Source organism: Homo sapiens, chromosome 6, assembly GCF_000001405.40.
Source record: "Homo sapiens chromosome 6, GRCh38.p14 Primary Assembly".
NCBI lineage: Eukaryota > Metazoa > Chordata > Mammalia > Primates > Hominidae > Homo > Homo sapiens.
In genome coordinates, this window is record NC_000006.12 from 116,218,572 (window position 1) to 116,236,743 (window position 18,172).

General features: G+C 37.4%; 1 protein-coding gene across 2 annotated transcripts in view; it reads left to right on the plus strand.

The window, feature by feature from the left end:
- NT5DC1 (5'-nucleotidase domain containing 1) overlaps positions 1–18,172 on the plus strand; it is a 148,645-nt gene that overhangs the window by 117,719 nt on the left and 12,754 nt on the right. For both annotated transcript variants that reach the window (NM_152729.3, XM_006715378.4), the window contains exons 7-8: positions 2,483–2,657; positions 4,463–4,560. In NM_152729.3, the coding sequence (NP_689942.2) occupies positions 2,483–2,657; positions 4,463–4,560 (273 nt within the window). The remainder of the gene's footprint in view (positions 1–2,482; positions 2,658–4,462; positions 4,561–18,172) is intronic.

The following is an 18,172-nucleotide window of genomic DNA, read 5'->3' on the forward strand; positions in this document are numbered from 1 at the left end:
ATCATCTGTTTCTTAAACTGACCTTTTCTTACTAGTACTTCCTCTTCCCTGGGAAACAGAGAATATATTTTAATTTTTTTAAAGGGCTATTATATAGCCTCTGGCATGTTAAAAATAGATCCTAGAGATTCACACACAGAAGTTCCTGTAGGGCAAAATATAAAAAGAGCAAAAACTTTGTTTTTGTTTTTGGTCTTCTAAATATTATTCTCATATTGCAAAATATTATTTCTTTTGTTAGTTTTGGTCTGGTTATGATATTCATGCAATATATTTTCTGAATCATGATGCTTTAAGTTGCAAATAATAAATAACCTTAATGTTTAAGCTATTACTAAATTGAGTTATTTTACACAACCAGAGGTTGTCCAGAAGTTGAATGGTACTTCCAGTGGTGGTTAGAGTTAGTCAGTGACTTAATCAGAAATCCAGTGGTGGCCAGGCACAGTGGCTCATGCCTGTAATCACAGCACTTTCAGAGGCCCGAGGTGGGAGGATCACTTGAGCCCAGGAGTTTAAGGCTGCAGTAAGTCATGATCGTGCCACACTGCACTCCAGTCTGGCCAACAGAGCGAGACCCTGTCTCAAAAACAGAAACAAAAGCAGAAACCCAGTGATGTCATCAGGGACCCAGGTTTGTTTCCTTTCATATGTCCACTCCGCCATCTCTGGTATATCAGACTCGTGCTTTGTGTTGATGATAACCGCTGCAGTTCTACATAGAATTTATAATCATGGGAAAGTCCAGTAGTAGAAGAGGGGATATTCCCCCCTTTATAGGTTTATTTTTATCAGTGGTATACATTACTTCAGGATCCTGCAGCAAAGTTCTCCTCAGGTCTCATTTGCCATGCCTGGGTCCCCAGCACTTCCTAAACAATTCAATGACAGGAGGAGGGAATAACTGTGATAGGTGTAGACTGATAGAGACCCTTGCCCTTCCTAGCATCACAGACCCCCTCAGAGGAAGATGAAACCCGAAACAATATCAGAGCACTCCCCAGCAAAGAGGGAGATGGATGTGGGGAGGCAGACCACAATATTTGCTACCGTTTTTTGTTTTTATTTGTTCGTTTTTGTTTCACTTAAAGACTCTTCTTCCTGGCCAGGCATGGTGGCTCATGCCTGTAATCCCAGCACTTTGGGAGGCAGAGTGGGCGGATTGTGAGGTCAAGAGATCAAGACCATTAGACCATTCTGGCAAACATGGTGAAACCCCGTCTCTACTAAAAATACAGAAGTTAGCTGGGCGTGGTGGCACACGCCTGTAGTCCCAGCTACTAGGGAGGCTAAGGCAGGAGAATCACTTGAACCCGGGAGGCGGAGGTTGCAGTTAGCCAGAGATCATGCCACTGCACTCCAGCTTGGTGACAGAGTGAGACTCTGTCTCAAAAAAAAAAAAAAAAAAAAAAACAACTCTTCTTCCTGATGTCCTGATATTCTTGAAATATAACTGCCAAGTATTTCAAGTGTTTCACACTGGAGAGAGTCACGGATGTATCCCATATCTAGCTATTGCAGACTCTATCATTCAGTACAAGCTGTTTAACCTTTTTTTTTTTTTTTTTTTTTTTGTCTATGCATGTGTCCTTTTCCTAACAATTAGAGAAAGTAAAATCTTGAATCCTTTTTATCTGCTTACTAGTTCTATCATGCTCTGAGAACAGTATGTGTTATGAATCTAGTAACATTTCAACTAAATCTGCAATTGCCTGCTAAGTACCCACAACTTTAAAGGCATTGGGTCAAGCACTATGGGTAAGTCTGGTCAGGACATCTGGAAACACTGCCACCATCTGCCCTGGAGCTCAGCCAGACCCCGTGGCCACTCTAAAGGGGCAGAGCAAGCAACCCCGCTTCAGTGATGCGAGTCATTCATTGTTCCCTGTCAAATACAGTGCCTTTTGGCCTGTTCTGGCCTATTTTGCACCGATTTTTCCATTTTGATATCTCAGCACTTCTCAGAGGCTATAGAATGGCTCCCCTAGTATAGATTCCATCTGAAATAGCAAACTGTGACTCTGAGGAACTCATCGCCCTTCTTGGCTATTTATGCAAAAGATGTGATCCTGGTGCAATATCTGAGTGTTGATTTGTTTCTTGTCTGTATTCAGCAAATATTCATTGAATAATTAAAAGAGTATTTGTAACAATTGATATTTCAAATGTAAGGTTTTCTCTTACAGCATTTGAAAATGCTGATCATATTGTGTTTCTTGTGTTACCTGTTTTAACAGTTTATCAGTTCTTGTCAAATAGCCAGCGAATATTATCAACTAACATTTTCAAACAATATTGTGTTTTCAAGTAAAGAACTATTCTTAAAAAGCAAGTAGTATTGGCATAATTGCTAGGTCGGTCAAACCTTGTTCTTATCCTTTTAGTTTTATCTATAGATTTGAAAGAGATTAACTTGTTAGAGAATATATTTAGTCAAAAAATGTTTAAAAAGAAAAACCTCATTGATATTTTTATTTTTCAGAAAACTGTGGAATATATTTTCCAGAAATAAAAAGAGATCCAGGCAGATATTTACATAGTTGTCCTGAATCTGTGAAAAAATGGCTTCGACAGCTAAAGAATGCTGGGAAAATTCTTCTGTTAATTACCAGTTCTCACAGTGATTACTGTAGACTTCTCTGCGAATATATTCTTGGGTGAGTGATGAGTCATTCAGTTTTCATTGTCTTATGAAATACAGATAGCAAATTAGACCAGGGCTTTTTTAAAAGTGTCAGCCATGACCATATCATTATTTTAAACAATGCTGAGTGACAAGTTGATTTTTTTTCTCATGACATACCTCAATCTCTGCTGACAGCAGCCCAACCAAGTACATTTTAGCAAAGCAGTGTTATTGGGGACCAGTATGCTCATAGCTCACCGAATGTCCAGGTTTTAGGTTTTCTAGAAGGTGGTAAACTGTATATCCTTCAGTTTTCCATGAATTTGGTTTCTCATCTTTGGACGATGATTGAGGGACTCTGAGTTGTAGGTTATACTCCTCCACAGATACCTGGAGTACAGCCACTCTTTAGTCATTTCCGTGCGGAGCCATGTATTTTACTGTTTAACACAGCCATGATGGGATTGAATTCATGAGAATGAAGGCAGTATAATTGCATAGACTTTAAAGTAAGACAGACTTGATTTCAAGCCCCGCTCTGCAGTTTACTGTATTACCTGGGGCAGGTTTTATAACCTCTTTAAGCTTCAATTTTGCCGTCATAAAAATGGTACAGTAATTCCTTGTGGGTATGAGGGGATATTTAAATAGCATAATACAGGTAGAGAATTAGACAGGAATAGTTGATAGACTTCAGTGTGTAAATACTTATTCTTGTGGGAAATACCAGGAAATGTCTATGGTCAAAGCGAGATTCTACCTGAGTCATTAGGTCTCCCCTAATGTTTCCTCAAATTCCATCAAATACCGAATTGCCATGAGTATGGAGCAAGTTTGAGCCTTAAAACCTACCTTCACCAGCCCTTTTAGCATCATGATTTCCATGTTCCTTAGCATGTGTGGCTTTAGTTTCTTCTATGGTATGCTTAGAATCTGTGAGTAGAATTCCTGCTTTCTGAATAATATACAGGCTGATACATAATAATGCATCTTTTGGGTGAATTAAGGCTAAAGTCCTGGATGTCTTAGAAGGTGCCTCTCATAGAGACATTTGCTATCCTAGTAGTGGGCCCATGCTTTAAAATGAACAATCTGGATTTTAATTCCTTTTTTATTAGCATAGATAACCATAGTCTTTCTTCATCTTAATTTCTATGTATTGCTGTTTGGATTTGTAAAAGTATTCTAGAATGTTGGGTAAATACTGTTTCCCCCATTGTAATAGTGAGTCCTTCAGGAGAAGGGCTACCTTGCCTTTGCCATCAAAAGTAATCCTTAATATAATGCTAACTACAGATTTAAAATCATTAATTATTGTCATACAAAAGTTACCACATTATAAGACTACACTGATTGTCAAATAAAGTGTCTTCTTCACATTTGAAGCACTCTCTGAAAGATGACCATGACTTGCTATAATGCTGCTTTCTGTGGGACCCATGTAACACACAAAATTGTTAACTCTTCAAGCTAACAAAGCCAGCCAATTTCAGGCCCCCAAATTTGAAGATAGATTTTCCAAATATTTCCAGCTGTTAGAAACTATTGAGTTCACTACCAAAGCCAGCTTGGTACCTAGAGTCTATGTGCTACTCTCTTTTTTTTCCTGATTATGTTTATACTTCAAAGAGTTGTCAGGAAGACTAGTACTCACCCACCTTCTATTTCCAGTGGAATGTTCACCTTAAAGTGTGTGAGAAAAATATAAAGCATGTAAAAGTTAGTCAAAAGATGAATGATGCTGTGGTAAAATAGATAAGCAAAGATCAAGTTCTGTTTTATATGGACCTTTTCTAATTCTTAAAATAAACTTATGAAAAATTGTGTTGCTTTTAGGAATGATTTTACAGACCTTTTTGACATTGTGATTACAAATGCATTGAAGCCTGGTTTCTTCTCCCACTTACCAAGTCAGAGACCTTTCCGGACACTCGGTAAGTTACATTTGGTTTCTTTCTTTTCCTGTATACAGTTGGCTAACAACCTTGTGCAGAACACTGTGTTGCATGCAATGCCATGTCTTCTTTCCTCTCATGGGGAAGAAAAAAGATAATAAACCTATGTTTGTATTAAATTTTATGCTACCGCTTTATATCACAATTATTTCTTTGCATGTCAGTCTCTCCCCAACTTTAAAAATGAAGGGCATGAACTTCACCTTAGTTTTTAGGGCCTAAATAAATGCCTCGATAAATATTTGAAGGATGGATTACTTGTGATAAATCAGTCAAGTTATCTTCTAGAACAAAAGCGCCTGTGGAACACATGAGGATCATAACAAATGAAACATTCCTCTCTCTGGGGAACAGGCAAGGCCTTCCTGAAAGGTTATTTAGAATTGTCATTCATGTAGAAGAGACTGATAGGGAGAGAGGTGGAATGAAAGGGATTTGCAGATGAAAAAGAATGATAGTAGAGTGAGGTACTCATAGTAGGTGTTCTTGAAAGCTTCTTGAATAAATACATAAATGAATAAAAAGAAGAGCCTGATCCGGAATAGAGAAGTTATAGTTTTTGGGGAGTGAAAGACAGTGTTTTGATATCTGTTGTGTCTTTTATTTCTATTTAAGTAGTTTCAAATAAGCTCAATGATATATTAACATTTGAGGACCATTCAGAAGTTCTCTTAGGAGATGAACATCTAAAATAAATCCAGGATGGTTGGAAATTGAAACACACTTAATGGTTGCAAATGCACATAAATGTATAAAAGATTATTAACAAATAAAATTTATAGATCTACCTAGAAATCTAGCTGTATTTTAAACAGAATGATAAAATTAACATACATGCATATTATATGCAAAATATATATAAGTGTCCACCATAATATATGATTTATAATTTTACTTTTGATTCATATGCTTGGCATTATATAACAACCTGGGCCAGGTTGGACTGATATTTAATATACATTTCTCTACTTTCCCATGGCCACACACTATCCTGCTTTGAAATAAAATTTAAAATTTCCCAAAAAAGTGTTCATGTGAGTCAGATGGATTTAATACATTTATTTAATATGGTAATACAGTATTATTTACTTTGAACTTTGCTATTCAAAAGCCTGATTCAGTTCTAGGCATTTGATAGTAGCTCAGTACTCAGTGGTGGGCTTATGAACAGTGAAATCTAAGTGAGGTTCATGGTAGCACGTGTCAAGCACCAAGGCATTTTCTGTGCACCAGACAGATGTGTGAACATGTGAGCACATCAGCAAGTGCAAGGGATGCTTATGGATTGTAGCACGTGTCATGAAGCTAATAACCACCTTATGAGGTACAGTATATGGGGCAGGCCTCCTTAGAGTGGCTGGCCAGGGAAGCTCTGTCCAAAAAGGTTAGGTAGGGTGACTTGCAAGGCGAGCCCTAAGGGACAAGTGCTGAGAAGAGCAGAGGAAGAGTGTTCCTGGCAGTGGATCAAATGAATGCCAAGGCCCAGTAAGAGAGTAGTTTTGTCACATTCTAGTAACAGAGAAGAGACCTGCCATTCTGGCACATGGTCATGGGGTGGGAGGGGGTGAAGTTAGGGAGGCAGGCACCCGCATAAGCGGTGGAAAGGGGTTTAAATTTTATTCCACAAGTAACCTGAAGCTGTTCCATTGTTTGAGGCAGAAGAGTGATATAAGAGACTACTTTGGCTGCTGGGTGGGGAATGGTTTGAGTGTGGGGAAGGATGGGAAGAAGAAGACCTGGCAACTGCAGCGTCCCTAGTAAGATAACTGTCGTGGTTTGGTCCAGAGCGACAGTACTGGAAATGGAGAGAGGTAGATACATTTAAATACATTATGGAGTTGGAAAACACAGAGGGCTCGGTGATACTTAAAGAAACAGCAGACAAAAAGAAAGGAGTAATAAAAAATAACTTCCAGGTGGTTGATTTTTCTTTTTCCTCAAATGAGCAAGTGAGTAGATGGTGGTACCATTTACAGACTTGGGGAAAAATACAGAGGATAAAGTTGTGTGGAGTAGGGGTTATATCTGTTAAGAACTCATTTTTCAACATGTTAATTTTGAGATGCCTATGAGTTATGTAACTGTCACTATCAATTAGGAAATTGTATAAATATGCCTGGAGTCCAAGGGAACAAGTCTAGGCTCAAGATATGTATTGGGAGTAATCAGCTCATAGATAGGTATTTGAAGCCAGGGGATTATATGAAACCAAATATTGAGAGAATGTAGATAGGCAAAAGGCCTGGACCAAGCCCTGACATTCTCTAATATTAAAGATAGAGAAGAAAGAGTGCAGTGTGGCAGCAGATAGATTATAGTAGGGAAAACAGTAGAATACGTGTTCAGAAGCCAGAGGAAAGAGGAAAGGGTAGCCAGCTAGTCCAAATGCTACAGAAAAAGTCCACTGAAATGAGGAAGGAGAAATCTTCCCTGGGGTGGACAAGATGGAGATCACTAGTGCCTCAGTGAACAGTTGCCATAGAGTGGTGGGATAGAAACTAAATTGCAGTATCTTGAGTAGTTCATTGGAGGTATGGAACCAGGGTATATGTGCAGCTCTTTCTAGAATTTTAGCTCTAAAGGCAGTCAAAGAATTGAGGTTTTAGCTAGAAGACAGTGTAGGATTAAGGGCATATTTTATTTTTTTAAGATCGAAGATACTGGAATATGTATATGTGCTGATGAGAATGATCTGCTGCAGTGGTTTTCAACGGTGGCAGTTTTGCCCTTCAGTGCAAATTTGGCAATGTCTGGAGACGTTTTTGGTTGTCGCAACTTTGGAGGGGGGTGGAGGCTGGGTGTGCTGCTAAGCAGCCTACAGCACACAGGACAGCACCCCCCAACGACGAAGAATTATCTAGCCCCAAATCTCAGTAGTGCCAAGGCTAAGAAACCCTAGTCTAGTACAAAGAAATAGGTTGATGTTGTTTTTATATATTGGTTTAAAGTCTTATATAATAAAATCCTTGATATTAAGAAATAATCTGTTATCAAGAATTCTAATAATATTCTTATAATTAAACCAGAAAAAAATTTAAATGTTTTTCCCTACTTTACAAACTTACATTTAAATATATAAGTAAGTACCCAATAAATATTTGTTTTTATTTTTATTTTTGTGGGGTTTGCATATTTTGTTCCAAGAAAATCTATACCCCTTTTATACCCATAGTAGTATTTATGCCATTCCATAAGATTTTTATTAAAATTTCACACAAAGATACAATTAATGGAAAACTGCACGTTAAAAATATACCAAGTTTTTTTTAACATGTTGGAAATTATAAATGCATTAAATATGCTGACAATTTACAGCATTTTATGTAGTTTTTCTCTATTTAATTGAGAGTATCCTGAGAAAAAGGGTGGAGTTTTTAAAAAACGATTACTTTAGAAGTACCTATCTTAAGACTTCTGTGCAGTATTTTCTGTTAGTTGTATAGTACAATTGGATTTGAGGGCTGACATAATAATGATGTTTATCCAAACTATATATTTTTAAATATTATACTCATCAAAAGACTTGAAAGTCTTTTTGATTGAATTTATGGTATGGAAATATTAGGAATCTAAACTTTAAAAATAAGCACATCCTGATAATAAATATACCATTTTAAAAAATTGTTTTACATTTTGGGTTGTATAAACACTTAGTTTTTTAATTTCTACTTTCTCTAATTTGTATTTCATTTATTTTTTAATTGACAAGTAAAAATTATATATTTATGTTGTACAACATGGTATTTTGATATATATATAGATTGTAGAATGGCTAAATGATACTATTTAAATAGGTATTACCTCACATTATCATTTTTTGTGTGTGTGGTAAGAACACTTAAAATCTATTCTCTTAGTAAATTTCAAATATACAATATATTATTTTTAACTCTGCATTTTGTACAATATATTTCTTGGATTTATGGATTTATTCCTCCTACCTGAAATTTTGTGTCCTTTGACCAACATCTCCTAATACCCCTACCCCTAGCCTCACATAACCACCATTTTACTTTCTGATTCTATGAGTTTGGCTTTTTTACATTCCAAATGTAAGTGAGATCATATGGTATTTGTCTTTCTGTGCCTGGCTTATTTTGCTTAACATTGTGTCCTCCAGGTTCATCCATGTTGTCACAAATGACAGGATTTCTTTCTTGTTAAGGTCAAATAGTATTCCATTATGTATATATACCATATTTTCTTTATCCTTTAATCTGCTAATGGACATTTCGGTTGATTTCATATCTTTTGTGAATAATGCTGTAATGAACATGGGAGTGCAGATAGCTCAACATACCAATTTCATACATTTTGCATATATACTCAGTATTGGAGTTGCTGGATCATATGGTAGTTCTGTTTTTAATTATTTTGAAGAACCTCCACACTTTTTTCCGTAATGGCTAAACTAATTTACAATCCCACCAAGAATGTACAAGGATTCCCTTTTCTCCACATGCTCTTTAACACTTATCTTTTGTCTTTTTGATAACAGCCATTCTAATAGGTATGAGGTGATATCTCATTATGGTTTTAATTTGTATTTCCCCAATGCTTAGTGATGTTGAGCACTTTTTCGTATAACTGCTAGACATTTGTATATCTTTTTGAGAAATGTCTATTCAGGTCCTTTGCTCATTTTTTTAATTGGGTTATTTGTTTCCTTACTATTGAGATGAGTTCCTTTTATAGTTTGGATATTAACCCCTTATCAGATGTATGGTTTGCAAATATTTTCTACCATTCTACAGATTGTTTTCACTTTGTTGACTGTTTTCTTTGTGGTTGCGTAGCTTTTTAGTATTATGTAATCTCATTTATCTATTTTTGCTTTTGTTGTCTGTGCATTTCGGGATATAGCCAGAAAGTCTGATAAAAATTTCATTTTAACTAGCAGTCTACTGTGTTTCATTCTCTTCTGTGGTTTTAGAGATGAAAAATCTGGATTGATGAAGCAGGACCAAAAGTCCTACCAGTCTCTGTAATGAAGACTGTAAAGTGCTTAGCAATCTCAGCGTATATAGGATTTCATGCTTTTTGTACAGATATTTAGAAAAATTTACCTCATTTTGGCCGGGAGCGGTGGCTCACGCCTGTAATCCCACCACTTTGGGAGGCTGAGGCGGACGAATCACCTGAGGTCAGGAGTTCAAGACCAGCCTGACCAACATGGAGAAACCTCGTCTCTACTAAAAATATAAAATCAGGCGGGCATGGTGGCACATGCCTGTAATCCCAGCTACTAGAGAGGCTGAGGCAGGAGAATCGCTTGAACCTGGGAGGCAGAGGTTGCGGTGAGCCAAGATCGCGCCATTGCACTCCAGCCTGGGCAACAAGAGTGAAACTCCGACTCAAAAAAAAAAAGAAGAAAAGTTTAGCTCATTTTTATCACATCCAGGAGGGCTAGATGTCTAAGGTTCTTTCCAGCCCTTGTTTTCTAGGCCTCTGATTTAAAATATTTCAGTGGAAGAAATATTTTTTAGAATTAAACCAAAATACTTTTTTCTATTTAGAATGCAAAAAAGATTGCGAGAACTATTACTAATTACAGGATTATACTGCACATACTTTAAAATCCCTACTTCATTACATTCTCTATTATGTGTCTATTCTGCTGCTGATTCTGATTCTGATTCGTCAGCTACCTCTAACTGCTTTACCTCCATTTCTGCTACCTTTCTCTTTTAATGTTGATATTCCCTAACATTCTGTATTTGGCTCTCCTTTCTTCTCCTGTTGTCCTTCAGCTCTCTACCACTGGGAAGCTTTTAACTATCATCTATATACTGATGGTTGACATTTCCTTGTCTCTGGGCTTCACATTTCTCTGACCTTCAGAAGCCCATTTCTATCTGTCTTCTAAAATCTTCACATCCCACAGCCCCAGGGTGGCAGGAAAGTTGATGTGCTTGCAACAGCTCATTAAATCCCCATCCCATTTTAGCATGCCCCTCTTCCCATATTCCATAATTACATTTTAGTTACTTTTCCAAGCACAGACTTTAACCAAGCTAGTAAGCAAAAACCACAATTACTTTTGCACTAACCTAAAAAATCAGTCATCCTCATTTCTTCCCTCCCTTTTAAGTTGTCCTTCTGTTTTCTCAGGTTTGTCCTCACTACATTCCCACCACTGCCCGCATCATCCCTTGTGTGAAATGGCACAATATTTAAGTCATTGCTCCAAATGGTTAAAGTAAAGTTAATGCAACTGAGCTGGCTGGGATGGAAGGCACAGCGAGCCAATCACGAAACACAGCATGGCCTTAGCGAGTCGCACAGGTTTGACGTCAGCGGTTGTCATGGTAACAGGGGCAAAGATGCTGATGCCAGTGTCAGTCAGGACTGAGCTCCTCCCTCCAGTCTGATTCCTGCCAGTGCTTAAGGATGTATGGAGGGGAGAAGCGTCTTCCAAGCAAAATCTTCATCCTCTGTTCTCTATCACGTGCAGTGCGTCACCAGATCCTCGCCAGTGCTGAGGGTGGGGATACGGGGGAATCTCTGACTTGCAAGATTAAATTATCATTGGAGAGGGAACGTGTCAGCCTTGTTCACCGCAGTGTCGCCAATGCTGCTAGCTCAGTTCCTGCCCCTGCCCACCATTGGGAGAATCATGAGCCAACTCTCTCTGTCTCTCCTCTCTCTCTCTCTGTCTCGTCCCTTGGCCTTAGCTGTCACCAATACACTGACTCTGACTCCCAAATCTTTCCCTGAGACCTGTTTTCCTGAGTCTCATACGCAGTTCCTCCTCCACACTAGGCAGCTCCACTCAGTGTTCTGATATCAAGCTTGAGATTCTCCTTCCGCCTAGAAACCAAAAACAACCAAACATGCCGGTCACCTTGTGTGTATTCTTTACTTAACCATCCATTAGAATTCTCCAGCTAATAACCTCCGTTGTCTTCACCCTTTTACCTCCAGTGTGCTATGCATTAAATCCTGCTTAATATACCTGGGAAATCTCTCATCTTTGTCCTCCTCTCCCTTTCCACTAGGCCATCTAACCCCTCCCCAACCTCTCTTCACTTTTCATTAGCACAGACTTCTATTTTTGAGTTCTTTAAAATTTCCCACATCTTTTTTTATTATTTACTTAGGCACAAATATATTTAATCACATGCACACAATATCTCATTGGCTTCCATTCCATATAGCATCCTAAGGCTAATTGTACAGTCTTGTTCCTAAATTACCTTTCCATCTTCCTTAACTCTATCTCCATAAAAGTACCCTTTACTCCTACTGAAATGATTGCCTTTTATTCTTATATCAAGTTTTTGTTCTCGCTATTCTGTCAACATCAGTGTTTCTCAGACTTTCATGTACACGTGAATCACCTAGAGATCTTGTTAAAATGGAGATTCTGATTCAGAGGCCCTGGTGAAACCTTAGATTCTGCATTTCTAAATAACTTGTCTGGTGAAGCAGATGCTACTGGTTGGAAGATCACACTTTGAGTGGCATAGATATATGTAGAATGCCTTCTCCCTTTCCTCTCTGGTGACTTCCTACCTCTTATTTAAGGTCAGACATACAAATCACACCTCCTTTGCGATACCTTCCTTCTGCAGCTCCAGTCAGAGCTGTTTCCTTCTCTGTATTGTTTAGTGCTTTCACTTGGCTACAGTTGGGAAATTGTCTGCTGAACTTTGTCAGCGGATGTTAGTGCTGAGGGGTGCAGCTGTCTGCAGGAATCTTTCTGTCTTTAGCACAATTCCAACAACATTAACAGCTCCCCGAATGAAGGAGGCTGAATCCATCAGCGAACTAGTCAACCCCATCTCCACTAAAAGTACAAAAAATTAGCTGGGCGTGGTGGCAGGTGCCTGTAATTCCAGCTACTCAGAGGCTGAGGCAGGAAAATCGCTTGAACCCAGGAGGCAGAGGTTGCAGTGAGCCGAGATAGCGCCATTGCACTCCAGCCTGGGCAATAAGAGCGAAACTCCGTCTCAAAAAAAAAAAAAAAAAAAAGAACTATGAATGAATGGTAAATCCCCCCCCCAAACCAAAGTAGATAAGAGTAAGAATCACACTTTTTCTTTAATAGTATAATTGTCCTGTTATAGCCCTCAACACAAGCATTTTACTAGACATTTTACTTGAAAAATGTCTTACCTGTCCATGCCAAGAAACAGAGAAAGTATGTATGAAAATGAACAACTGGAGAAAAAAAAGTCTAGCCCAGAATTGAGGAAGGGATTTATAAAAGTAAATATGAACTGTTTGGTCAAATTTACATATATACAGAAAGGAATCCTAGAAATAAAAATTGTAAATATATTTTTAATCATAATTCATTATTTAGTAACCTCTAACAAGTCAGAGATTGCCACCAGAATATAAGCATCCTTAGGGAAGAGATGTTTAGGGCAGAGACTTGAGCCATCTCATTCACTGCTATATCCCTACTGACTAAAACAGTCTGTGAAATATAGTAAAAATGAAGAATGAGACGAGAAAGAAAATGAATTGTATTTCTAGCTCAGATTCTGTTTGACTCCACCAGGCTGTGCAGATCCTCTCATGTTTGTAACTTTTTACTTGTAACAGAAAAACATTGGCAACAACCCACATGTCTATCTATAGAGGACTATTATTAATAAATAAATAATAGAACATGTGTAAAATAGAATGAAATGCACATATTTTAAAAGGAGGTAGATTACACTGTGCTAGCTATAAAATAGTTTAAAAATAGCAAGTTGCAGAGCCTCATGCAGATTATTCTAATAATAGCATTTAAAAGCGTTTTAAAATTATTAGTATTATATTAGTTTGCTAGGGCTGCCGTAACAAAATACCACAAACTAGATAGCTTGAACGATGTATTTTATTTCTTTGCAGTTCTGCAGGCTGTGAAGTCTGAAACCAGGTTGTAGCAGGATTGGTTTCTTCTAAGGCCTCTCTCTTCTTGGTTTGTAGATGGTTGTTTTCTGCCTGTGTCTTCACATAGTCTTTCCTCTGTGTCTATCTGTGTCCTAATCTCATCTTCTTAAAAGGAGACTATTGGATTAGGTCCACCCTGAGAGTCTCATTTTAATTTAATCCAGCCTTTAAAGGCTCCATCTCTAAATAGTCACATTCTGATATACTAGGGGTTATTATTTTAACTTATGATTTGGGGAGAAACATAATTCAGGCCATAACAAGTATATACATATGCTGAAACTCATCAAATTGTATGCTTTAAATATATTCCATTTATTGTATGTTGATTATGTCTCAACAAATGTGTAAAAACATGGAGGAAAAGAATATACTCATATTCGTATTTGCTTTTATATGCATAAAAGAGGAGAAGAGGTGAGTGCATACCAGATAGAGTTCAAAAATAAGACTTAAAAAACATGTAAATATATTACTGATTCAGAAAAAAATCTCATAAATGCATATTTTTAAACATTAATAAAGTAGTGACACCAAGCACTTGGGGAGTTTAGGGGAGGCAGCAGTCTCTGTGAGTTGAGGTTAGTGCTTCTGGCCTACAAAACTTCTCACAGATTCTGCTCTCTGTGGTAAGTTTTGCTTAGCTTTATTCAAGGCTGTCAGTCTAGCCTTGACTGTATCATTGTCCCATATCTACTTTGTAACTATTATACTGTCAAAAACTTTACTGTTTTTTAAACTCGTCTTGTCCATATGTTCTTACAATAAGAAAATAAAAAGATTTACTTCATTGTAGTAAGACATAGCTATATTTAGGAATAAATTACAGTTTCCAAGACAGCTTTAGTTTTATTTATTTGCCTAAATTGATGGCTCCTCCATCTCTTTATCCAACCTTCATTTGTTTCTTAACTTCATTAGGTCAGTTTTTTGGTAGTTTGTAGGCTAAAAGAAAAGATTTGAGCTTTGTTCTCCTATGAGTTTTCTCCTTTGTAGTTATTTTATAACCCAAACATCTATTAGTGATTAAGTTAAAGGGTTTGAGGAATAATTTGTATATCTTGTAGAACTTTGGTATAGAAAATTGTCCTAATAATATATTTTTATAGAAAAATGTTTTCAATTAATACATTTTACCTAACTGTTAAGATTGCTTTAATTAAAGCTGGGACAGTGGAATTTTAGGAAAGTAATACAGGTTTGCTGTTTTATCAAATAAAGTTTTTTATCAGTGAATTTGAGGGACATTGTGAAAATAATAAACTATAAAATTCAGTTCAAAGGGCATTCTAAAGCCCTCCTTCTTTTCTTCATTCATTGCTGACCTGTTTTCAATATATATGGAAGATTGTAACAGCACTAAATTTGAGCCTTATATAAAGATGCCATAGGAGGTTGGCTGAGGCTCCATCCTAAGTGAGAATTGTTCGTTTGCGGGTGTCCTCAGGGATGCCAGATAAAGGTTTATTCTGTGCTTTAGTTGTTTCCTGTTTGTGGCAATACCATGGGACACATTCAGGTCCAGGAATCCAAATTCGGAAATGCTCTCTGGGAGTATCATCTTACTTTGTCTTCTAGCCCCAATTTGAAATCCTTTGGAATAAGGAGGCAAAGTGCATTCTTGTCCTGGCTCTTACTATAACATTTCAGTGACTTTGGGCAGATTCCTTAACTTTTTCAGATATCAGTTTATTCACCTGTAAATTGAAGGGATTATAGCTAAGACTTCTTAAACACTTACTTTGTGGCAGACACTTTTCCATGTGCTCCATTTTTATCTGTATTAATTTATTTACACAACCACTCTGTGAGGTAAGCATTGTTATTATCCCCATTTTAAAACTGTGGAAGCAAATTATCATCACCATCTATCCCCTTTGTCTTCTTTATTTTTTTCTATATCTTCTAACGTTTATCTTTCTATATCTTATAACTGTTTTTTTTTTTTTTTTTTGAGACGGAATCTCATTCTGTCATCCAGGCTGAAGTCCAGTCTGCAATCGCCACCTCCTGGGTTCAAGCAATTCTCCTGCTTCAGCCTCCCGAGTAGCTGGGACTACAGGCACGCACCACCATGCCCGGCTAATTTTTTGTATTTTTGGTAGGCACAGGGTTTCACCATTCTGGCCAGGCTGGTCTTGAACTCCTGACCTCGTGATCCACCTGCCTCAGCCTCCCAAAGTGCTGGGATTACAGGTGTGAGCCACCATGCCTGGCCCTTCTAACATATTTTTAATTATACTTTTTAAAATGAATATCCTCATTGTACTCTTTGCAGGACACTGTTTTTTGGGTTGGGGTGGGGGTTGTTTGTTTTTAGACAGGGTCTACTTCTGTCACCCAGTGGGGAGTGTGGTGACATGATCTCGGCTCACTGAAACCTCTTTCTCCGGGCTGAAGCTATCCTCCCACCTCAGCCTCTCAAGTAGCTGGGACTACAGGTGTGCAACCCCATACCCAGTGAATTTGTGTAGTTTTTGAAGAGACTGTGGTTTCACCATGCTGACCAGGCTGGTCTTGAACTCCTGGACTCAAGCAGTCTGCCTGCCTCAGACTCCCAAAGTGTTGGGATTACAGGTGTGAGCCACCACACCCAGCCTACATTTTTAAATATTATGTAAAAATAGAGATTTAGGTAACTATTTTTGATTGACCTTACAAAGAAGTACAGTGTACTATCTAAATAATGTAAAAAGTGTTTATTTGGGTTTATAAACACTGTGCTTGAAACTTTCCTGAGTTTGTTCCTCTGTACTGTACAGCTTCCACCTCAGTTCTGCGGCTTTCACAGTCCGAACAGGCTCTCTACTGCAGGAATTAATAATTCTCTGAGTCTTGCAGCTTCCTAGCTGTGGAGGCTCTGCCAAAACCCGCAGCCTCAGCTGCCCTTGTAAATTAATTATTCCTTAAGGCAGCCTCCAGTATAGGGGCTGGAAACAGGGAGGGGAGGTAATGTTTGTATAAAGTGAATTTTTTGTTTTGACTTGATTTGGGTTTTTTTTTTTTTTTTTTGCTTCCTATTAGATTACTGAGTCTCAACATTTAAGAAGTTATAATACTATGGATTTTTTTAAATTTTTCATAAGTAGTAGAAAGATTCTCTTCCCGTTATCCTTGCAAAGTAGATATCTACATATCAACTGTGAGTCTTTTCAGAAGTATTTCTGTAAATTATTCATTTCCAATTGCCATCAAATTCACATTATTTGCGTAGTAAGACATTTCAGTAAATAAACAGACATGAGAAGTGATCACTTTTTACTGTGTTTCTCCAGGAATATGCTGAATCTTCTTAGACCCTTTTAATGTTAGGCTAGTACATGATTTTGGCTTCCTATCTATTCTTTCTTTAAAGAATAGTGGGATTTTCATTTGATTTTGCAGAAGAATTTTTAAATGACTGCTGAAATGGCAGCTAGATAGGCATAAATATTTATTGAACATAAGCTGCTAGCTGCTGTGATTTGGCTGTAATTATCTATAAATGTAGTTTTAGAATTTTGTTTAAAATATCTGAGGTTATGCAGAAATGCACTTTATTATTGTGACATTATTTGACTCATTTTTGTAGTAGAATGAATAAATTATATTTCATTTCAGTTATAATGATCAAACTTTAATTTGTAAATCTTAAATTCTCTAGTACCAGATTCAAGATGTTTTTTGTTATAAACTAAGCAGAGATTTAATGTTGTTGTCTGTGACTTTTACATATAGTATCTTTAGGGAAAATTAGATCTTAGTTAAAGGTACTAACATTGCCAGAGATGTATTTTTAATGACTGGCATAACCATCTTTGCCTCCTTTCTAAACCCTTTGTTTTCTGCCTGTCCTACTCCAGGGTTGATTTACAATAAAGCCAATGAAGCTTAAGCTTTAAGACCCCCTCATTTATCTCTTCCAAATCCTAGCAGGGACTATGGTAATTTTGTATTAATTCTGTATTTGTTCTCTTAAAGAGGACCCTTCTAATTATATAAGCTTCTGTATACACAACCTCTGTATCCAGCATAGGATTGTATCTCATAAGATTCTTCTTAGTGGCACAGCAAAGAGGACCAAAAAAGTGGGGGGAATAAACCTTTTTAAAATCAGAAATCATACAGTTGATGTGAGAAAAAAGAGGTTATTTTTCTCCATACAATTTGCAAAGCTGTATCAACAGCTACCAAAGTCTCTGCTGATAGATATATCATGTATTTCATAAAACCTTACTCAATCTTCCTTAATCATCATGCTGGTAGGCAGATTCTCTTCAGCTTTTCAGCTCACGTACAAGTAATAGAATAGCCGGCAAAATTCAGAGAGGCAAAGACATTTACCTCTTTCACTAGCCCTGCTTTAACAGGAGTAGGAAGGTAATGTGCTGGGAGAGGACAACTTGGAATGGTCCACAAACTTGTGCTTTGGCATCAGATAGTCCTTTCATTCCCCACCCACCCCAAGCTGGTACTAGGGTAAAGCATTTGAGGCACCAAGGGTGCAAAATTTACATCTGAATCTGATAGACTACTAATTAAAAACTTACCTTCCTCACCCTCAATTCTAAAAAATTAACACCTAATGACTTTCATTGTGTTATTTATTTGGTAAACCGTTTTGTAGCAGTAGGGGCATGATGTCAAGCAGAGGCATGATGTCAAGCAGATGTCTGTCTAATCACTGAATAAATCACTTACCAGCATTGAGATCCTGGGCAAA